A 22,036-nucleotide genomic window follows, 5' to 3' on the forward strand; every position below is an offset into this window, starting at 1 on the left:
AGGTCAAGGCTAAATTGCTATCAGTCTCTGGTCTCTTCCCAACTCCAATGCGGATTACTCCCTCCTCTTAGTTTGACCTTGAACTTCAGAAGCTCCAGGAAGCCAGGGACTGGGTCTGTTTTCTTCTCACCGTTGTATCTCTAATACCTACACAGGTCTTGCAAGGCAAAGAGCATGTATATAATAACTGTGTTAAATGAATGAGTGAATGAATAAATGGATGAATGAATGACAACAGTCATTCTAGGTACCATGAGATTTAATACTGGATGCCACAATGTATTTTCCAAGTTCCCAGAGTGCACATGATTGCAGAGGCAGGAATGGGCAACAAGATGGATAAGATCCAGTCTTTACCCTTGAGGAACCCAATAGTGTTTTCTGGTGACTTCCTTGTGCCAGATCTGCTCAGAATCAGCTTTGTCCCTGCCTACAGTCAGGTGGAGAGGGAGGAATGTAGACAGATACATTACTGGAGGTGGCTCACACCTGTAATCCCAGCATTCTGGGAGGCCAAGGTGGGCAGATAACTTGAGGTCAAGAGTTCGAGACCAGCTTGGCCAACATGGTGAAACCCAATCTGTACTAAAAATACAGAAAAAAAAAAAATGCCAGGTGTCCCAGCTACTCGGGAGGCTGAGACACGAGAATCACTTGAACCCAGGAGGCAGAGGTTGCAGTAAATCGAGACTACACCACTGCACTCCAGCCTGGGCGACAGAGCAAGACTCCATCTCAAATATATGTATATATATATAAAACAAACTGTTTGCTTCCCCAAAATGTGGCTTCTCCATGCTGTGAACTTCTAGCAGGGAAGGACTCTACTCCCAAATTTCCAGCCCAAACACCAGTGTTAAAGTTTTTGTTTGTTTGTTTGTTTGTTTTTGTGCAGCAAGCAGCAGAAGTGTTAAAGTTTAAGTGAAAGTTTTAAAAAGGGGTATGTGTGGTTGTAAAGAAGGCTTCTTGGAGGAAGATGCATCAAGACAGGACAGATGGACAGGGTGTGAAAAAGGGGGAGCTTGGGGAAGGGCTTGAGCTCAAGAGCACAGTGTGGGCAGGGACCCAGAGGTGGAAAAGCACGTTCAGGGGCAGGGCAAGTGACCTGATGGGCCTAGGGAGCTGGACCCACATTAGAGCATGGCGGTGGGAGAGGAGTGGAGGCGGCTGGAGAGAGTGGCAGGAGCAGGATGATGTGAGGCCTTGAATGCCAAGTTAAGGAGCTGGGGCCTCATCCTAAGAACTATGGGGAGCCACGAGAAACAATGGTTGGGTTCTGTGTTCTGAAGCTCATTCTGGGAATCTGGAGACAGGGGACCAGTGAAGAGGATAGTACAGCTGTCTATGCAAGGTGGCATGGCCCAAGGCAGAAGAGAGAAGGAGAGAACTGTTTCCTGGTTGTTGGGCATAGAGGTATCAGTGTGAATGTTTTTGTATGTGTCCATGAGCACAAGTAATCTTTCTCAGAGAGTCAGCCTAAAAAAAAAAAAAAACCCAACCCTATTCAGTTTCATGACCCAGCATACCCAGCAGCCTGGGGGAGGCCAAAGTTACCAAAGAAAGAGGCTGAGAGACATTCAGTTAAAGCCTGACTTTATAGTTCTTCCTCATCAACACCATCCTGCAAATTCACATTCATCTACAGGCTTTCAGGGTGTTTTAATCCCAGTTATCTCACCCAAAATATTTGCTTTTCCGCCTTTCTTTGTGTTTCCTGTATGCCTCATGTCAGCATCCTTGTTCAGGTCACTTACTTAAAAAAAAAAAAAAATCCATAAGGCCGGGCTGAGGTGGAGCCTGGAGTGACCAGGAAACCACTCTAGAATGAACTCCTACCTGAGGCAGCTCCTCCTCCCTAGCAGAGCCCACACTGGCCTGCTGATCACCTCCCTGCTCAGGACTCTGCTGATACCATAGACCTAGTCCTAGGCCAGTTTGGGAATCTAGAGAGGCCATTGAAAAGAAAACTGATATATGGATACCACCCCTCCTCGGTGACTCAATCGTAGCTCCTGACAACTCAGGGTTTTGTTTTTTTGTTTGTTTGTTTTTTCTCTTGAGGGTTACAGAGCATCATTTATAGAATGCAGTTTATACAACTGACCTCAGAATATGGCCAGGATTTTGCAGCTATTATAGAGCATGGTCTCTGGAGCCAGACCATCTCAGCTTAAATCCTGGCTCTGCCACTTCCTAAGCTGTGTGACCTTGGGCAATTTTTTTTAACCTCTTTGTGTCTCAATTTCTCCATCTGAAAAATGGACTCATATAGTATCTACTCCAAAGGGTTGTTGTGAGGCTTAACTAAATCCACCCATGTAAGGAACCTAGAATAGTAACTGGCAGACAGTAAATACTCACTGAAGTTTAACACCTGTTATATTGCCTGTTATAGTTCATGAAAACTGTTGCTTCTCCTTTTGGAAAAATCAGGATGGCACTAGCCCACCTCCAGTCTCCCAACGCTTCTCCAGCTGAACAGCATTTCCTAGAGATTACAGATTCTGTAATCTGCAGGTTCTCTGAGATGCAGTTGGAACAATTTAATACAGCAGAGCAGTCCCATGCTCCACTGTAGTCTCACTGCAAAACAGTTCAGCAGCGGTTCTCAAAATGTGGGCTTCAAACTAGCAGTATCAGCATGTCCTGGGAACTTGTTAGAAATGCACATTCTCAGCCTCACTCCAGAACCTACTGAATCAGAAACTCTGGGGGTGGAACCCAGAAAGCTATATTTTAACCAGCCCTCTGCTAATGTTTGAAAACTGCCACAGCATATTATAGCACAGTGGTTTATTTAGGTAGATATGGCGCAGTTCATTGCCCACTCCTTCTCCACAAAGTGTTCCTGATTCCCCCAGAACCCTCTTTTACTAACAGCTCTAACTTCCTCCCTGTATTACTGTTGTCCATGCTCAAAAGTGCTCAATCCTCCCTGGATTACAGGTTACCTGAGAGCAGTGTTGGGTCTTACACATCTCTGCACTGGGCAGCCCAGGGGCTGCCACAGGGACCTTTGCTTAGGAAAGACATGCTGAGTCAAGCGTGCAACATTTCCAGTTTCCTCTGACTAAGGCTACTATTACTGAGCCTCTGCTCCTTCCAGGACCCTTGCTCATACTGCATTTTCCTTTGTGAATTGTGGTCATCTCCTATGCTAAGATGCCTGGTTCTTTGTCATTTCTAGTATCCTCCAGTTCCACTGCCTTCTCAGGCATTTTACTCTTCTCCCTCCCTTTATGTTTGTTCAAAGCCCTTTGGAGAAGGTGTCAGAGCTCCAGGCAAACCTGTCACCCTAATCCTTATTTTCAATCATAATACTTCTACTGGTAACAATTTGTCAAGTACTATATGCCAGGCCCTGTCCTGGGCATTTTACATTCATTCATTCATTCACTTAGAGACAGGGTGTCTCTCTGCTGCCCAGGCTGCAGCGCAGTGACACGATCATAGCTCACTGCGGCCTCTAACTCCTGGACTCAAGCAATCCTCCCCTCCCCCTACCTTGGCCTCCTACGTAGCTGGGACTACAGACACATGCCACCATGCCTAGGTAATTTTTTTTTTTTGGGTAGAGATGGGGTCTGTCTGTGTTGCCCAGGCTGGTCTTCAACTCCTGGGCTCAAATGATCCTCATGCCTCAGCATCCCAAAGTACTGAGATTACAGGCATGAGCCATTGTGCCCATATGGCACTTTACATTTATTATTTTAGTCTTTACAACAACCCTAGGAGGAAGATACCTATTCCCATTTGGATGGAGCACAGGGAAACTGAGGCTCAAACACAGTAAGCAACATTAACATGTGGCAAGGTGGGGGCTTATTCAGTCTGGGGCCAAGTCAGGGTCTGGGTGGATGGACCAGGAGAAGGGCCTTGTCTAGGCATATGTATTCATATAAAAATGATCCACCAACAAACCTGTCCAGTGCCCTTGCTCAGGAAGATGGGTCTGACCAGGTGCCAGCCCACCAGGGTGCCTTTCCACAGTGTGCAGGGGGCATCCACCTGAATGCCCGTCTTCAGTGCATCCCCTGGCCCTGCACTTGCTATTCTGTGCAGCAGGAGTTTCAAACTGTGTTCCACAGAGCCCTGGAGATAGGGTGTGTGGGCTGGGCAAGTGAGAGACAAACCCTGAGGAACTGTGGGACCACCCCAGCAGCCTGTCATCCCTGTCACTTCTTGGGCTCTCAAGGTTGTATTTGAAGAAATGATTTCAGCTGGGCGCGGTGGCTCACGCCTGTAATCCCAGCGCTTTGGGAGGTTGAGATGGGCGGATCACGAGGTCAGGAGCTTGAGACCATCTTGGCTAACATGGCAAAACCTCGTCTCTAAAAATACAAAAAAAAAATTAGCTGGATGTGGTGGCGGGCGCCTGTAGTCCCAGCTACTTGGGAGGCTGAGGCAGGAGAATGGCGTGAACCCGGGAGGTGGAGCTTGTAGTGAGCCGAGATTGTGCCACTGCACTCCAGCCTGGGCGACAGAACGAGACTCCGTCTCAAAAAAAAAAAAAAGAAAAAAGAAAAAAAGAAATGGTTTCACTGCTTTTAAAAAGCTAGAAACTACTGCTGAATAATAATTGTCATTTTAGGTGTCTGTTTCTTCCCCCAGAATGCCCCTAAGGAGCAAGAACTGTACCCACAGCACCCAGCACAAGGATGGGGGGTCTCAGGAAAGGTCGGCCAGATAGAAGGGCAGATGAGAAATGAATGTACTGGGAGCTCTCTGTGTAATATCCCCTCCCCCACCCTCACCCCACCCCCCAATTCCTGCAGGGAAGAGGCCTTGAGAGAGTTGAGTAAGAAATAAGCAGGCAGAATGATGCAAGGGGAGCTGTCTGTACACATTGCAACAGAACTTTCTAAAACAAGCCTGGGGCTGCTCCCAAGGGTCTCAGTCCTGCCCTATTCCTCTACTGTCATCCAGACCTGTCACACAAGATAGGGCCAAAGGCCATTACCAAGCTCTGCTAAGGCCTGACCTTAGAGCTGGGAGGTCTGTGCTCTTGGGTTCTGGTTTGAAACCCGGAGCCATCTTCAATCACCCCCTTCCTTCCTTTCAGCCCTACATCCATGCCATCAAATCCTAGAGACTCTAAAGCTTCAGCATCTCTCAAAATCACCCTCGCTTCTCTTTTGCCTTGCCACCCCTTCAGTTCAGGCTCTGTCGTCATTATCTCTCTCCTTCCTCTCATCTGCCTCCCTCCCTTCCATCCAATATCACCCAGGTCCCTGTGGGTTGTCTGTGCCCCTTCAGCAAAGGCCACAGCTTCCATGTGGCAGCCCTCTCCGCTCAGCCCCCATTGCACCTGCAGTGTCCTTCTCTTAGTCCTTCAGGCCAGATCCCCTGTGAGGTGACTAGTCCTGGGCTACTGCACCATCCCTTGAGTTTTCTCTATAGCCTGCTTACATCTTTGCAAACAGTCTTTGTATTAAACTGTCCTCAAATTACCCAGTTTGGGTGGGCTGTTTCCCATAGGGACACTGACTAATATAAGGTAGAGGTAGTTAGGAAGGGTGCCATGGAGATGACAGTTAAAGATGTTCTTGCCTGGACAATGATCTTTCTAAAGCATAAAACTCCTGCTAAAAACCTCTATGGCTCCCCATTGCCCTGAGAATAAAGTCCAGACTCTGTAGCCTGCCACCCAAGACTATATACCATCAGGCCCCTGACCACAAAGCAGCAGCAGCATGTGGGGAAGCCACCAGGAAGAGGGAGAGTAGGGGGCTTGGACGTGGGAGGCAAAGACTTCCAAGAGGAGTGCAGCCATGCCACACAGCTGCTCTGGCTGGCAAATTCCTGTGAGTAAGGAGGCGGGTGAGTTTCCAGGCTAGAGGGCCATGCCAGGCTGCCTCTGCTTGCCAGAACCCTGCCCGCCCACTCTCCAAGTGAGTTGAGCACTGAAAGGAGTTTAACCCCAATGGGCCCTAGCCTTGTGGCATGAGAACTGGTTACATCCCAACCCCATCTGGTAAGCTATTGGATTCCCTGAGCTTTCATTTTGCCAACTGCAAAATGGGACTAACCTCCCAGGGCTGTGGAGGCGATGGATGGGAATTTGCTTTCGTCCAGTAGTTCTGCTGTTACAGGTGCTCCCTCTCCCAGCCTTGGGAGGCAGGAAAAGCGTACAGGTTTGAGGCTCTGGAAGACTTGGTGTGAATCTCAGCTTTACTACTTACTCCTTGTGTGATCCAGGACAAGTCACTTTACTTCCCTGCACCCCATGTGCAAAGCGGTGGGGGTGATCACCCCTTGTGTGGTGGCTGTGAGGACTGGGCAAGCTCACACAAGCCAGGGCCTAGCACAGAGCAGGGAGCTTGATACACGTTTGTTTCTGTCTTTCTACCTGTGCCTCTCTTAGGGCAAGTGTCCTCTCTGCCTTATAGGCTGGCCACTTACCCTCCTCATGTGTGCAATGGAGGAGCTAAGACTGCTATCACTGAAGCATATCTCAGAGGTGCATGCGTCAAACCTCTCACAAGCTACAAAGCTGCACGTGTAATCCCCAATGGCTGTACAACACTGGTGATTGAAGTGGGTGGAGGATGAGCCATCCTTGTGGATGCCTCTCTGCTCACACCCCTCCTTTGGTCCATCCCCCAACAGGATGAAGTCCAAGCTTCTTGGTGGGACCACAAAGCCCACCCTGGTCAAGCCCTTCTTGGAGGCATGACTTGACCGGTCTCTGATTTTCCCAATATACACATGGGTTGAGAGATGATGAAGGAAAGGTAACCAGGTCCTAGAACACATTCTCAAGCTGTTCTGCTCACACACCTGCAGGAAGGTCAGGGCTGGTCATTATAGGAGGCTAGGAATGTCAAGAAGCATGGGAGGGGGCCAGGAGAAGTCAGAGTCTGGTGTAAGTCCCCCTTGCCCAAACTCACACAGGGGAAAACAGTCCCAGGACACAGGAAGCTGCCATGAAACTTCCTTTCCAGGCTACTCTAAGTTTGGGTCTGGTTTTCCTTCCAAATCCAATTTGGACCAAGCTGTTTAAGCAGTACCCATGGGCATGGCGGCTGGAGGCCAAGGGGAAGGAGTGTTCTAGAAGTTGGGATGCCAGGGGCTGCTTGCTCTGTGAGGTGGCACAGAAGTAAGCAATTGTGCCTCTCAGCCCTTGGACTCACCTCTGCGTCCTCTCACAGATGTTCCCACACAGGAAGGGCCCAAGCTGGGGACCAGATTTTATGGCCCTATTCCCCAAGCACCCACCTCCACCCCAACAACCCAGCTTATCTTCCTTTTTTTTTTTTTTTTTTGAGTCTTGCTCTCTCGCCCAGGCTACCAGGCTGGAGTGCAGTGGCACAATCTCGGCTCACTGCAAGCTCCATCTCCTGGGTTCACGCCATTCTCTTGCCTCAGCCTCCCGAGTAGCTGGGACTACAGGCACCTGCCAACACGCCTGGCTAATTTTTGTATTTTTAGCAGAGAGGAGGTTTCACCGTGTTAGCCAGGATGGTCTCGATCTACTGACCTCGTGATCCACCCGCCTCGGCCTCCCGAAGTGCTGGGATTACAGGCGTAAGCCACCGCGCTGGGCCCCAGTTTATCTTTCTAACCCACCAATCCAATCAAGGTGCATCTCTGCTCACACCCCTCCTTTGGTCCATCCCCCCACAGGATGAAGTCCAAGCTTCCTGGCAGGACCCACGAGGCCGTTCAGATCTGGGCCCTGTCAACCTCTCCAGCCTCATTTCCTACCCCTCTTCTGCCTGTATCTTTCTTTCAGCCACACCAGGGTGCTCACAGGGTTCCTACCTCCAGGCCTTTGTCCATGCTGTACCCTCTGCCTGACACCTTTCCCCTTTCCCCCTGCCTCACAGAATCAGACTTCTCATCTTAGGTCTGCAGCAATATCACTTCTTCTTGACCTTCCCAATTTACCATTCCCTCTACTTCCTCTATGACTCTACTATACTTTTTCAGGGGGCAATCCACCTTGGACTAAGCGTCTATGCCGAGCTAGGCCCACACTGGGACATAGAGTGATGAGGTTCCTGCCCTTGGGAAACGCCTGGCTCCGTGGAGAGGCAGGCAGACAGTGACAGCACAGGGGGAAAGGCCAAACTTGGCATAGCCTTCCATGTTACCCTGTGCCACAGGCTGGCTGTCTTGGGATCATTGGCTTTAGGACACCATCTCTCGATTGGGTCTCCTCAAAGCCAAGGACTAAGTCCGATTACTCTCTGTGTCCTAACCAAGGCCGGGCCCAGAGAAGGTGCATAGCAAAAATGTGCTGAAGTAGATGAACTTGGGATCTGAATGTTTCAAATAGGCCTTGGTAACCCCAAATCTTGCCATTTAAGACAATGATCTCTTACATTACAGCACAGTGATAACACTCTTTTACATGCTGTGATTTCACTTCATCCTCAAATACTCAAGTGAAGTCAGCAAAACAGAAACTGTCACCTCCATTTCATAATGCAGAAAAGGAAACCTAGACAAGATAGCGATACTGACTTGCCCAGGGTGAGTGGGTGGGCCATGAGTTCCAGCCCAGGCCTCCTCCACAGGAGACCCTTCTGGAGCAGGCACGAGCCACAGACTGACCTGGGATCTTCCAGGCCAGCAGGAGTCTTGCCTCCAAGAGCACCCTCTCTGAGGAGAGGATGCCAGGATTTACTGGCACCTTCAGTATCCTCCTGGCTTCACTCCTCTTTGCCCAAAAACAAACCACACCTGTTTCTACCTCCCAGCCTTTGCACTTACCAGTCCCCATGTCTCCCCCCATCCCCCACATGTGGCATGCCACTAGCCTACCCTCAGTTTCCTAAAAGGCACTAAGATCTTTCCAGCCTCATGGCCTCACCACATGCTGGGAGCTCTGCCTGGAATGCTTTTCTTTCTACTCTTGGCCAATTCGGGCCTTGGGGCCCAGTAACACGGTTGAGAGATTTACTCCTGTGGCCTTGAGAGGGCTGAACAAATGGAAGCATCTCTAGGTTGCACCAGAGGCATCTATTACCTGCTGCCCTGTGCCTGTAACTTCTGTCATTCTCCTCTCCCCCTGTGAGAACATGATAAAGACCACAAAGGCAGGGAATTCCTCTCCTCTTATGCTGTGACCCCACAGCTATCTCGCTCCAGCTATGCCTAAGAAATCTGTCTTATCACTGACATGCTTGTTGTCCCCACTCGTTCCCTGAGCCTCCATCCAACAAGTCGCTCCACCACATGCTGGTGGATCTCGCTTCCTATGCTCTTCCCTAGATCAGGCCTTCCCTCCATTCCCTCTACCACTGCCGTGCCTTGAGGCTCATCCTCTCTCACATGGATCCCCCGCCCCTACAGCCTCCCCACTGCCCTCCTGACCTACAGCCTCTCCTGTCCATTTCCCATACCATGGCTAAGGACACTTAAAACCCACCTGACCAGCCATTTCCCTACTAAAGCTCTCCCAAGACCCGGCTCCCCCCCAATATCTCAAGAGTGGCACTCCCAAACCTCTCTCAGTTCAAGCACCCGCGCCTCTCACTTCAGCCTCATTTTCCACAGTTGCCTGGGCTCCAGCCACTCCAGGGCCCCCAGCCCTGCCCCAAACATGCTGGCTTTTCTAACACTTTATGCCTATCTTTCTGCTTTGCCCTCACACCTTCCATCTGCAAAATTCCTATTCATTAATGGGCAAACCATTCTGGAATGCTTTCTATGTGCCAGACACTACCTAGGCTCTTTTTATACCTTATCTCATTTACTTCTCAAAGTACCTCACAAAAATAATAATTATTATTCCCATTTTACAGATATGGAAACTGAGGCTCAAGAGAGGCAGGGCAAGAACTGGACTCCTAGTCTATCTGATTCCAAACCTGCTGTGCACCAACCTCTCTGGGAAGTGCACCAGCGCCCCCACTCCCCCAGCCCAGGGCAGAGTCTTCTCTACTCTGTGGTTCCATAGCCCCCTGGTTTCTCGCTTGTCCCGGCCGTTGTCACCAGTGACTGTGTGCGGCTGTCTCTGCTGCCCCCCAGCGTGAGCATCCCAAGGGCAGAACCTGGGCTGATCTGGCTGGGTCCCCAGCACCCAGCAGGGTATAGGTGCTCTGTGAGGTTTCTTAATAAAGAGATGGAAAGCCAGAAGCAGTTTGGGTGGTTGAGATACCCAGCCCTAACCTAACTAATCCTGATACCAGTGACCAAAAGCGGGACCTTCGCATCTTTGCTGCCAAAAGACAGCCCCTCCTAAAGAGTAAAGGCCCGACCCCCTGCACGCCCTCTGCCTGCACCGCACGTGCTTGGTTTTCCCCGCCCGGGTACTGGCCGCCGGGCCGTACCAATCTCCGCGGGGGAGCGCCCGGGGTCGGACTGAGGGAGCGAGGGGAATAACCGGGCGCGCCCCTTGGAAGCAGGGCTCAGAGCTGCTCTCCTCTCACGCATTCCCCGGATCCGCGCGGAGCAGGCTGCTGGCCAGCCCCGGGCCCGCGCCAAGCAGAGCCTCAGGTGCGGTTCCCCCACAAGCAAGTGGCGCGGGCGGCGGCTTAGAACGGCCCGCCCCGCCCGCCGCGTCGGCGCCTGCCCCGTTGTGAGGTGATAAAGTGTTGCGCTCCGGGACGCCAGCGCCGCGGCTGCCGCCTCTGCTGGGGTCTAGGCTGTTTCTCTCGCGCCACCACTGGCCGCCGGCCGCAGCTCCAGGTGTCCTAGCCGCCCAGCCTCGACGCCGTCCCGGGACCCCTGTGCTCTGCGCGAAGCCCTGGCCCCGGGGGCCGGGGCATGGGCCAGGGGCGCGGGGTGAAGCGGCTTCCCGCGGGGCCGTGACTGGGCGGGCTTCAGCCATGAAGACCCTCATAGCCGCCTACTCCGGGGTCCTGCGCGGCGAGCGTCAGGCCGAGGCTGACCGGAGCCAGCGCTCTCACGGAGGACCTGCGCTGTCGCGCGAGGGGTCTGGGAGATGGGGTGAGTGCCACGGCGCAGGGGTTATGGACCTGCGAGAAGATTTTCTGGAAAGGGCCCTGTGGCAGGCTGGTGGGTACTGATGAGTCCACGTTCATTCTCCACTGTGGCACTCATCAATTTTTACGACCTCTGTTACATCGCTTTCCACCCGCCCCCCAGCTTGTTTCCCTCATCCGTGAGGTGGGAGCGGTACCACCCACCATTCTTAGTTATTAGGGATATTCGAGAACTCCTCCCCAGCCCCCACTGCGGCTGGTGACCCCTGGCACTTCCCTCCCCTCTCCCTTCACCAGGTAGAGCGAGCTTTGGCAGTGATAGACTGGATGGGCAGGATGGTATGGGTTTTGCCGTCTCCTGAGACAGCCACCAGACGGGGAACATGCCCGACTGGAACAGGTGTGTCTGCCCTGTCCTCTGTCCCACATCCATCCTCTCGCCCAGGCTCTGGAGCCCACATAGCAGCAACTCTTGAGCCTGGCATGCTTAGAAGGCAGCGGAGAGGACCCTGCATGTCCTCCAAGGTAGAACTGAGGTCCTCAGTGAATCGCGCAGAGTTGAAATCAACCCCCGCCCCGCACCCCCCGCAGCTTTTCCCAAGCGAGGAATAGCAACTCTTCCAACCCCCACCTCCCTTACCTAGAGCTGGAGAAACTGAAGTGGGAGGAAGCATGCCTAAGTTTTCCTTAGCTGATGCCTTGACCCCTGGATTCAAGTACAAATCCGGTAGACCCTGGGAAGTCATCACAGCTGTCCTGGTCTGCGTGTGTGTCTTGCATGAAGCCCCTCTCCCTCTTTCTAAGTCTGTATTCTGTTTGCTGAGCCTCTCTGACATGGATTTTTCTTTAGTAACTAACGGTCGCCTACACCGCCCACCTTTGTTACAAAAATAAAGCTTGCTAATTATGGAATTTTTGAAAATATAGACAAATGAAAAAAATTTCTGGTAAATCGACTATCCAAAGATACCTTCCTATTAGCATTTTAGTATATCTCTTGATCATTTTCTTTATACACATTGCATAGATACAATTGAGGACATGCTGTAGATATAGTTATGAATCTTGTTTTCTCCCCCTTAATGTAACATCGAGGTTTCCCTTCTGTTAATCAGAATCACTTACAATGTCCTAGTGGTTGCAATAACCCACCCTGCAGCTGTACCACACTTTAACTGTGACCTAGGCATTGGCATTGCTTCTTGTGTGATTATCGCTGTGGTTATCTGCCCCTCTTGGTGTGGGTGCTGCTCGTAGCCCTTGAAGAGGAACCCAGCTGCTGCCCTGTCTCGGGGGCGAGCAGCTTGAGCTGCCCCATGTATCCAGCCAGTAGCCTCTGACAGCCCCTTCTCTCACTTGAGTCCTTTTCTGTTCCCTGTGTCCTTTGATGTCCTTAGGGACATCAATGGATGAATGGACTTGCCCTTGTTCATGCTGTTAAAAATGTTTTTGCACTGGGCAGTGGGATAGGGATGTTCTCTGTGGTAGTGCTTCCTGGAGACCCCATTCCGTCGGCTCTGCCATCCACAGGCTGGGAGCTGTGTCTTCCAGGAGGCAGTGACCCTGGCTGTCATGTTTTTGACTTAGAGTTTGTTCCTTAGGAGAACTTGTACTCTAGCGAATGGTTTTAACCAAGCCACTTAATATCATGTCAGGAACATTTCCCCATGTTGTTATCAGATCTTGAAAACTTTTTTTTTTTTAAACTGGGTGCAAGGATTTACATCATGGAATGTAGGAAGGGCTGGTATGAAATGCAAACCAGTCAGTTCAGCTTTCTGGGATCTACTTTGGTGAAAGATTGGGTGGAGTAGGGGAGGGCACTGAAGCACATTTTGTTATCTGGGCATCTCCATTAGACCTGCCTTCTAGATCCTTGGTCCTTGAAGATACTCCCCAGTGGCCTAGTTTGCCTCTGTGGGTAAGGTCCCACTGTTGTGAGCTGGTGAACAGCCCGTCAGTGACAGTATTCAAGTAGAGACCATGGATTCTGTGAAGGGAAGTCCTGTGACGGGTGAGAGATTGAAATAGATACCTTGGCATCTGGTTTCTTGGCCAAAAAAAAAGGCCAGCTGTGGGAGTATGGGTAGGTGGGTGCATGCTGGGGGAAGCGGGAGTCTGTGTTGATATTTCCTAATCCTTGGAGGGCTGTCCTGTGCCAGACGTGGAGTTTGCAGAGTTCATCAGGACAGGAGGGATATATATCCTATTCTTTATCCTTGCCTTTGGATTGGGGGCTCTTCGTTCAGAAGAGCCCTCTGACACCTGCCTGTGTCCTCAGGGTTCAGCACAGGACCTAGCATGAGATGTTGGTGGTCCCAGTAAAATTTTGAGCTGATTTGTTGTGTGCGGCTCCAAAGAGTGAGGCCAGGAATAGGAGTGGGATGATGGGTGCAAGTTTTGATGTAGCAGAGGAGTCCTTTCTGACAGCTGTTGAGGACTGCAACAGGCTGGGGTGGGTGAGGATGGAGTTCCACATCACTGTGGATCTGCTTGAAACTAAGTGGCTAGATTGTTGGGGGTAACTGGGAACTGAGGGTTGACAGTCACCTAACCTAGTCCTAAGTCAGAATGAGAACATTACTCTCATGCTTCCCTCTCCAATTCCGTGTGGCTTCCCCCCTCACCTACATCACTTCCCCAGCTGAATAGAGGCCACTTTGGGGCTGCGTCACCAAGGGCTCATCTAGGCTGAGAAAGGAGGGCCAAGAGTAATGTTGTATTAACAGGCTCAGTGACTCAATGGTCAGTGTTGAAATCCTGCCCCACCTCCACCCTCCTGCCCTCAAATTCAACAGCAAGTACTTGAGTTGTAAAAATTAGTGCTGGATCGGGCCCAACCCTCATGTTACAGATGGGATCACTGGAGTCTCCAGAAAGAAGGGACTTTCCCAGGGTTATCAAAGCCAGGCTAGAACTCAGATCCATCTCCCAGTCTGTGGCCTGACTCCTTAAGCCAAGAGAAGGGTTGCAAGGCCGTGAAGGGCTGAGTGCAGGGCTCTGTGCATTGTAGGTGCTCAGTGGTTTGCTGAATGAGTGAAGGTTGTCTCCATGGTGCGGGTGGCAGCTCATCCCTTCTCAAACTTTTTGAGGAAGCTCCCCAAGCCTGCCCTAGTGGATTAGAGCACTAAGATCCCCCAGAGCTTTGGCTGCCAGGTGAATGCCAGTTGCCCCCTACCCACACTCAGTCACACTTCAGACTTTCCAAACTCTTCCTCCTGGCCTATGAAGTAAGCCCCAGGTGAACAGCCTCCACTGCCATCACGACTTCCTCTCCTAGTATGTCACCCACCATGCTGCAGACGCATGGTGGTCTTCCTGTTCCTGCAGCATTACTCCCAATTCAGTCTTACCTCAGCGCCTTTGCATATGCTGCCTGTCTGCCCAGGTCTTCGCATGGCTGGCTTTACAACAGTCAATCTCCTCTCAGAGGTCTTCCCTGGCCACCCTATCTAGAGAGCCACTTCCAATCTAGAGAGCCACTTCCAATCACCACATCTTCTTTTATTTTTATAGCCTTTATCACTACCTAAATTTTCATGCGTGCTTATCTGTTTAAGCAATTGTCTCCCCAGTAAGAATATCAGTCCCTTTGCCGGCCGCGTGCCATGGCTTTCGCCTGTAATCCCAGCACTTTGGGAGGCCAAAGTGGGAGGATCACTTGAGGTCAGGAGTTCGAGACCAGCCTGGCTGACATGGTAAAACCCCTGTCTCTACTAAAAATAAAAAAATTTAGCCAGGTGTGGTGGTGTGTGCCTGTAATCCCAGCTACTTGGGAGGCTGAGGCAGGATAGTCGCTTGAACCCAGGAGGAGGAGGTTACAGTGAGCCAAGGTTGTGCTACTGCACTCCAGCGTGGGTAACAGAGCGAGACTCCATCTCAAAACAAAACAAAAAGAACAAACAGAAAAAGAATATGAGTCCCTTGGAAACAGGAACCTTGTCTGTCTTTCTCAGTGCTGTGACATCTAGCACAGTGCCTGGCACTGGTAATAGGTACTTAGTAAGTATCTGTTAAACGAAGGAATCATTAGTGGGACTGCCCCATTCCTCTTGGAGGAAGCCCTGCTTTTAGCTTCAGTGTGATTCCTCGAGCCTTCCTTGGGCCTCCTCTGTCCCTGTAACCACCTGTGCTAGGGACTGGGTGCTGGGGTTGTAGCTGTTCCCTGCCCTGGAGGTACCCACAGTCTGGCAAGGAGCTGGCTCCAAGGCTGAGTGGCAAGTGGGCAGAGCCAGTCTCAATGGTCACCCTTACTGCTTCCCAGGGCTTATTAGAAGCCCGAGAGCTGGGGTTCCAGGCCTGACATTTTTCTGGGATGTGGCTGGGGGCTTCACTTCCTCTCTGGGGATCTCACTCCTTCTATCTGGAAAATAGGGTCAGAATTCTCAGATTCTCAAGGATGGAGGGTTTGAGTTAACCTGAGTGTGAGTGTTTGTGAACTTGTGACATTCATGTTAGTCCTTGTCATTTGTCCTGTGTTACACATTCAGCAGGCCCCCAACACTGTAGAGAGTGGCAGACCCTGCTCTAGGGCATCCAGGAAGGCTTCACTGAGGAAGGGACTTGGGGTGTGGACCCTTCATTTTATTGATTGAGCACCTTCTGTGTGTCAGCTGCAGTCCCTGCGTTTGAGGAAGTGAGACCAGGGGGATGTACACAAGATGACTGTGCAGAGTGATCTGAGCAATGACAGGAAAGACTGCCAAGAGGTGAGACCGGGGAGCTTGATCACCCTGAGGTCAGGGAAGTCTTCCTGGAAGAGGTGACATTCAGTCCGGATCTGGAAAGATGAATAGACATCAGCAAGACAGGCAAGAACATTCAGGTACAGGAAATAGCATAAATAGAGGCATGAGATTTGGATGGGAGAGGCAGACTGACTGCAGGGCCTCTGAGTGACCAACTGAGGCTGAGGTCTTGGTGTACTGAGAGCCAGAGACAAGAGAGACAGAGAGGATGCTGGATCCAGGCCTGTGGTGGCTCACCTGTGTCTGCAGCAGGAGGAAGACTTGAGAGCTCATGGGAAAGGAGCCTGGTGCAGTTAGTTTATTGGCCTCCAGCACTTTGAGGGCCTCCTGGTATGGAGCTGCTGGCTGATTTGAGGGCCTCATGGGCAGGGCCCAGGGGTAGGAGTCAGGCCTGGGCTCTGTCCAGCTCCTGCTTGGCCACCGAACTGCTCCGCAGCCTCAGCAAGCCACTACCCTTCCTTACCCTCAGTCTCCTCATCTATGAAATGAGCAAAAGTGTCATAAGAACCTGTGCAGATTATGGTGCAGATGCAGACAGGCTACACCCTGTGAACCTTTTGGGTAAATCAATAGAAATGGGAAACACAAACTCCTTTTCTTATTAGAGCAGAATTAGCCATTCTAAGCCCTGCCTCTGCTTCCCATGTGACCTTGGGTATAACACTGCCTCTTAGGGCCTCAGCCTTCTCATCTGCACAGTGAGGAGGACTGGTTGAGATGACCCCCTTGGCTTCCTTACATCCCTGCTGGAGAAATGCGATTCCATTCTTGTCCCTAACTGCTGTGGGACTCTTGAGGTCAGCCACCTCCTCATTCTTGTCCTCAGCTTCTCCTTGTGAAAATGGTGCACTCATCCACTTGGGGCCAAGGTAAGTGCCCCAGAAGAACCTGTCTCCCCATGCTTGCCCATATATTGTGATGGGGACGTATTTTGGAGATTCCTTGGTGACCTACTCGCAAGCTAGTAGTGTTGCCATGGCAGCCCCTTCCACTGCAGTAGCTACTTTTTGAATGTGCTTGGTCACAGTGGGTGGGGTGGGGGAAGTGGGCCCCTGGGGTCCTCAGCAATCATGTCCAGGGTCCTGGATGTAGATCCATGTTCGGTATCAGGAACATGGCATTCTAAGAGTCTCACTTCCTTGGCCTTACCTCTTGGAACTTTGTGAAAGTTCTACTTGATGAAAACGGAATACACAAAAACCCAGGTGTATGGAGTAGCCCGAGGATGGGCTTATATTCCCTTTCGGGAGATCTTCTGTGGATAAAAATTCATTTGTGGATTCTAGCAGAGCACAGGTGGCCCAAGTTAGCAGCACTCAGATTTCAACAAATCCACCCCAGCTTCCTAATTTAGTGCTAATGGGGAAACCTAGAGAGGGGAGGAAGAGGCTTAGCGCCCCTGCAGGTCTACAGATGCTCAGGATGCCTGGCTCCCTGCAGCAGGCCCTGAGGACTGACAGTGCCTGCAGGGTCCTGATGGCCCACTTCCCACCTGGCACACCTAGCATAGCTGTGTGCTGGCTCTCCAGTAGTTTGGCTTCCCCTTTGGGCCAGATGTCCCAGTGGGCCCTGCTTTAAGGATACCTCATTTGCAAAACAGAACCGTTAAAGCGAATTGTTAATCTTTTCAGAAAAGAACTCACTGGCGTTTTGGGACCAGTTCTATAGCTAGCTAGCTGCCCTAGGGCTCTTAGGCACCAGTGGAGGGAGTGAGCTCTGACTGGCTGTCTTCTCTGCCTTCAGGGTAGAGGCCAGGACTCCTAGACCTAGCATCCCAGTCCTTCATGCCTCCCTGTTTCTCTACTTTTCCAACTAGACTCACAGTCTCTGTGCTGCAGTCTGACTAAACTGCTTGCAGTTAATTCCTCAAACTTGTCTTCTCTCTGTTTCGGGCCTTTGCAATGCCTTCTGGGATCCTGCCCCTGTACCTTCCTCCTGGAAGGCATCCCTAAGAACACCCTCCTGTGGGGGTTGGGGCCTCCCCTGGATTCCTAGTCCTGACTGATCCTTTATGTATAATTGTTCGCAGCTTTGTCTCCCAGCCATATCTTGGGTGGGCAGCCCAGGAGCAGAACTCAGCCTCTAGCAGATGCCCAAGAAGCAGAGGAGAAGCAGAGTCTAGAAGCTCCCCTCCTGGTGTGGAGCCTGGGGTGTAAAGGGTACTTAGAAAGCACTGGTATGAATGTTAGTGTTTGGGTTCCACCCTTCTCTCTCCCTTCCTCTGGGGCCTTCCACCATTGCCCCGACATTAACCACCCTCCAGCTGGAGAAGACCTTTCCCTCCTGATTCCCCAGAAAGCTCTGCTTGACCCTCCATCATGGCACAGGTCAGTCAGCTGTGGGTGGACTTTTTTCTATCTTTGTCTAGGCCCTGTTTATTCATCACAGTCCTCTCAAGCATTCAGTCATTCAGCAAACATCGATCGAGCACCTTCTCTGCGCCTGACCCTGTGCTGAGCACCAGGGCCCAGATGAATGAGACATGGTCCCTGCAAATGCACACACATACCTTTTCCCATAATGAGAAAGGGCTGAGTACAGGGGTGAGATGGGACAGGCAGGGATGCGGTCAATCCAACCCAGGTGGAGGAGAAGGAAGACTTTCCAGAGAAAGAGTCAACAGGTTGGTCTCTAGCAGGCCAGTGCTCAGTGCCTGGTGGATGCCTGGTATGCATGTGCTAAAAGACTGACCAAACTAGACTTAGAAGCAATAGAACTCTACCTGGAGGCACTGCAGTGAAGTCCCTCCTTCCTGGAGGGAACGAGTCTCTGGCTGAGCACATGGTGAGGCACCAAGTGGAGACAGCTTCCTGTGTGAGGCTTACGGGAGCCCAGCCCTGGCCTGGGATTCTAATAGCAGTGGGCATGACCCTCCAGAGATGGCAGCTTTGCCATGACCGGCCTCTCATCATCATGTGTGTGGACTCCCGCTGAAAGGTGTCTGCCTGGAGGAGCCTGGAAGAGAGCTCACCTCCAGCCTTGATGAAGTGGCATCTCTTTGGCACTTGGCCTGACTTCCTAGACCTCCCTGGGGCTGGAAGAGCCTGCTAGGGGTCAATATGTACTGACCCTCACTCTGCTACCTCTCCTCATAATATACAACCTGTTACTGTGCACCTCTTAAAAAACTGTTTGCTCTCTCTGTCTCCGTGCAACTTGTCCTCAGCTCTTTGGGGGTAACTTGGGGGTGACTTTCTCACTCACCTAGACCCAGGGCAGACATTAGGTCCAGATGGGCCCAGGTGTGGCATCCTTGGGGTTGGGGATGTGGGCAGGGTGACCCCCACCCCCACCCCTGCCTCAAGGAGCCCAAGAGGCTGTTCACACCTCTCTTAGCTGGCATCTTTCTGGCTCTCTCACATTGATGCCAGACATTCTGGCCCTTTTCCCTAAGTTATTTAGATTCCTTATGACAATCCTGGATTAAAGCTAAGGAGGACACTGAGTCCCAGGGACAGGGAGTGATTTGCAAGGTCTCATTGCAGGTAAGAATCAGAGCCAGGGTTTGAATCCTAAGTTAGCCTGTCGCCTACGCCTCTGTTCCTAGGCAGGGCAGGCATTATTTTACCCATCAAACAGGAGAGGACACCGAGGCTTACTTGGTAATTAATCAGCATTCATAGAGATCTTTACTTTTTATGAAGCTCTTGGCTATACATTATCTCATTTAATTCCCACAACAATCTGGTGAGGTAGGTATTAGCCCCACTGTATAGATGAGGAAGCTGAAGCTTGTATAGGAAGTGACTCATCCAGGCCACTTCCTACGAGTTAGAGGCCAGGTTCTCCTGACTCTCGGCCCCTGTTTTCGGCACTGACTCCAGGTTGGCATGTCCCCTGCCAGATGCCAGTATGGAGGTGAGGTGGGTGGAGGACGCGGTGTGGGCTTTCGAGAGGCGTGAGCTGCCCACAGTCTCTGTCTACCAGTGCTTCGCCATGTACGCTCAGGGCCTCCTCTCCATAGGCCAGGGATCCTCCTGCCCCTCTCTCTATCTCATTGCCCCAAATTATTTTTCTTCATAGCTCTCGTCGCTGCCTGATGTTACATCATACATTAATACGTAGGTGTTTTATCTCTCCCTCAGCAGAAGTTAAGCATCCTAACTTAACTTTAGCCAGTCTGACTTGGGCATCCAGGCCTATAGCTGCCTCTGAGGCAGGACATCATCTGCTGTGCTCACTGCTGTTTCCCCAGGGCTAGTATTAGCGCTTAGTACCTTGTATGTGCTCTATGCCTTGGGTCTTAGCTCTGTCCCCACCCACCTCACCCAGGAAGCCACCTTTGACTACTCATTCCAACTTCTTTATTCTCAGCTTCTATTTCAGGCAGTCACTCACCCCCCTTTCTGGGTTCTTGAGTATTTGGGTCTGCCTCATTAGAACTCCCTGCAAGGCTTTGTTCCAGCAGTTTCCCCCAACCACAGTGCGCACTTTCCTCCTGTTTGACCCCTAGATCTTGTCTTCAGGGCCCTGGCGAAGCCTCATGGCCTCCTTGGAGCCTCCTCTGCGCTACCATCACTCTGCGACCTCTTCTTGTAACACAGACCTGTGGCCATGAGCCTCTGGAAAAACTCTGCTTGCTCACTACATATACTCCTTCCCACTCTGGAGATGGGAGGAGCAATGCCAGTAGCCACCACTTAATCACCTAACAAATGCCACATGTGCCTTAAACGTTTTAAAATTTAATGTTCCTGGCTGGGCGTGGTGGCTCATGCCTGTAATCGCAGCACTTTGGGAGGCCTAGGCGGGCGGATCACGAGATCAGGAGATCGAGACCATCCTGGCTAACATGGTGAAACCCCATCTCTACCAAAAATACAAATAATTAGCCGGGCGTTGTGGCGGGTGCCTGTAGTCCCAGCTACTCGGGAGGCTGAGGCAGGAGAATGGAGTGAACCCTGGAGGCGGAGGTTGCAGCGAGTCGAGATCGCACCACTGCACTCCAGCCTGGGCGACAGATCGGGACTCCGTCTCAAAAAAAAAAAAAAAAAAAAAATTTAATGTTCCCCAAAATCCTGTGAGGTGAGGATTATCACCCTCATCCTATAGATAAGAAAACCAAAGCTAGAGTTAGGTGACTTGCCCGAGGTCACAGAGCCAGGCAAGGGCAGAGCTGGCCCAGGGCCCTCTTTCTCAGATTTAGGGGGTTGGGGCTCAGACACTGCTGCCCTCAGGCATGTGAGAGGAAGCCCTGAAAACTTGGGTTTCATCAGCCCCGAGGTGTGGCCTTCCTGGTCACTTTGATATCAGATATTGGGCAAAGAGGTGCTCACAGACACCCTTCAACACCCCAGCCCTGGGCTGGGCCCTGGGTCTGAGAACTGCTTGAAAGCACATGGGTTGCGGGGGTGGAATCCAGTCTCACTAGAACATCCACATGAGACTTTGAGCATGATATGGGCAGAGGAGGGAGCTCTCCTTTGCCAGGATATGTTCCTGAAGTCCAGGTGTGGGCTGGCGTGTTTGGTGGGGCCAGCGCTCAACAGCGTAGCATTGTAGAGATGATGAGGGACTGGGAGCCTGAATACCTTCTTTAAGTCCTGGCTCCCACACCCTGACCTCAAGCAAGTGATTTTGCCTCTTTGGGCTTCACCTCACCTCAGTTTCCTTCTCTGTGAAACAGGATTGCCAGTTCTCCCCTTGCCTACCTTCCCAGAGAGTGCTGTGGGACGGTGAAGCCCCACATAGGCGCAGGAGAAGGGGATTGCTTTCCGGGTGGTAAAAGAGCTGCTCTGGGCCTCTCTGGCAGCTCTACTCCCTCTGCCTTCCCCAAAGGTAGGAGCAAATGAGCTGTGTGTAAAGCAAGTGCTGCCTGGGAGCAGCCATTTGAGTCTTCTGTTGGGAATCTTCCCCTACAGCCTGTCTCATCTGCCCCCATAAAACAGAGACATCTGTAGGTAGCAGGGTTGTGTTCCCTTTATAGGTGGAGAAACTTGTACCTAGGGAGGGCAAAAGAGGCTCATCCCCCATCTCTGGGGTCAGTCCTCAGTGATGGGGCTGGTTTTGCCTCCTGCCAGGCAGCCCAGTCTAACTTGGGCATCCAGGCCTATAGCTGCCTCTGAGGCTGCTCTGGATTTGCTTATGGATTTGCTCAGCTATGCAGTAAACCTCTATGAGCCCCTCTTACCACAGATGAATCAGGTACCAAGTCCTGGCACCCATGCGTCACTGGCAGTGGGATGGCCAAGTAAAGTGACATTGGTGCTGTGGGAGTGTGCAGAGAGAGTGCAGATGTGGTGAGGGGGCAGATAGGAGCAGGGACTTGGCTGGATGCTGAGGCTCCCTGGTGGCCCCACCCAGGAGTCAGGAACAGTCAGACTGGGTGTGAAGGTGGTGGCATGTGGTGGCATCTGATTGCAGCATCGGCATCCCCACCAGCTTCTGCTGGAC

At 51.5% G+C, this 22,036-nt stretch overlaps 1 protein-coding gene and 1 long non-coding RNA gene across 5 annotated transcripts in view, besides 7 other annotated features; one reads left to right on the plus strand and one right to left on the minus strand.

Moving 5' to 3' along the window:
• Nucleotides 1-241: 241 nt before the first annotated feature.
• DGAT2-DT (DGAT2 divergent transcript) lies at nucleotides 242-10,434 on the minus strand. Its single transcript, NR_046090.1, has 4 exons — nucleotides 10,281-10,434; nucleotides 6,030-6,780; nucleotides 3,922-4,331; nucleotides 242-430 (listed from the first exon to the last, which is right to left on the minus strand). It is a non-coding gene; the product is annotated as a DGAT2 divergent transcript (long non-coding RNA).
• Nucleotides 8,342-8,561: an enhancer, noted in NCBI's record as "active region_5275". NCBI's record gives its function as "activates an Ori minimal core promoter by ATAC-STARR-seq in GM12878 lymphoblastoid cells {active_cell/tissue: GM12878}" and the evidence as "EXISTENCE:reporter gene assay evidence [ECO:0000049][PMID:35858748]".
• Nucleotides 9,868-10,368: an enhancer, noted in NCBI's record as "H3K27ac hESC enhancer chr11:75479126-75479626 (GRCh37/hg19 assembly coordinates)". NCBI's record gives its function as "activates a minimal SCP1, AML or CMV promoter by ChIP-STARR-seq in naive H9 embryonic stem cells {active_cell/tissue: H9 hESC(naive)}" and the evidence as "EXISTENCE:reporter gene assay evidence [ECO:0000049][PMID:30033119]".
• Nucleotides 10,455-10,564: a silencer, noted in NCBI's record as "silent region_3774". NCBI's record gives its function as "represses an Ori minimal core promoter by ATAC-STARR-seq in GM12878 lymphoblastoid cells {active_cell/tissue: GM12878}" and the evidence as "EXISTENCE:reporter gene assay evidence [ECO:0000049][PMID:35858748]".
• Nucleotides 10,565-22,036, plus strand: part of DGAT2 (diacylglycerol O-acyltransferase 2) — a 32,757-nt gene continuing 21,285 nt past the window's right edge. For 2 of the 4 annotated variants that reach the window (NM_032564.5, NM_001253891.2), the window contains exon 1: nucleotides 10,565-10,899. In NM_032564.5, coding sequence (NP_115953.2) covers nucleotides 10,779-10,899 — 121 coding nt within the window. In that variant the 5' untranslated portion in view covers nucleotides 10,565-10,778. Of the gene's footprint in view, nucleotides 10,900-12,824; nucleotides 12,910-13,828; nucleotides 15,605-22,036 lie in introns of those variants that run through there. The other 2 variants (XM_011545304.3, XM_047427716.1) reach the window with 2 other exon arrangements.
• Nucleotides 10,645-10,884: a silencer, noted in NCBI's record as "silent region_3775". NCBI's record gives its function as "represses an Ori minimal core promoter by ATAC-STARR-seq in GM12878 lymphoblastoid cells {active_cell/tissue: GM12878}" and the evidence as "EXISTENCE:reporter gene assay evidence [ECO:0000049][PMID:35858748]".
• Nucleotides 15,123-15,272: an enhancer, noted in NCBI's record as "active region_5276". NCBI's record gives its function as "activates an Ori minimal core promoter by ATAC-STARR-seq in GM12878 lymphoblastoid cells {active_cell/tissue: GM12878}" and the evidence as "EXISTENCE:reporter gene assay evidence [ECO:0000049][PMID:35858748]".
• Nucleotides 15,413-15,642: an enhancer, noted in NCBI's record as "active region_5277". NCBI's record gives its function as "activates an Ori minimal core promoter by ATAC-STARR-seq in GM12878 lymphoblastoid cells {active_cell/tissue: GM12878}" and the evidence as "EXISTENCE:reporter gene assay evidence [ECO:0000049][PMID:35858748]".
• Nucleotides 18,647-18,935: a silencer, noted in NCBI's record as "fragment chr11:75487905-75488193 (GRCh37/hg19 assembly coordinates)". NCBI's record gives its function as "represses an EF-1alpha promoter that drives an FKBP-Casp9 reporter gene in an ReSE screen in HepG2 liver carcinoma cells {active_cell/tissue: HepG2}" and the evidence as "EXISTENCE:reporter gene assay evidence [ECO:0000049][PMID:32094911]".

The sequence above is a fragment of the Homo sapiens genome, chromosome 11 (genome assembly GCF_000001405.40).
Source record: "Homo sapiens chromosome 11, GRCh38.p14 Primary Assembly".
In the NCBI taxonomy this organism is placed as follows: Eukaryota; Metazoa; Chordata; class Mammalia; order Primates; family Hominidae; genus Homo; species Homo sapiens.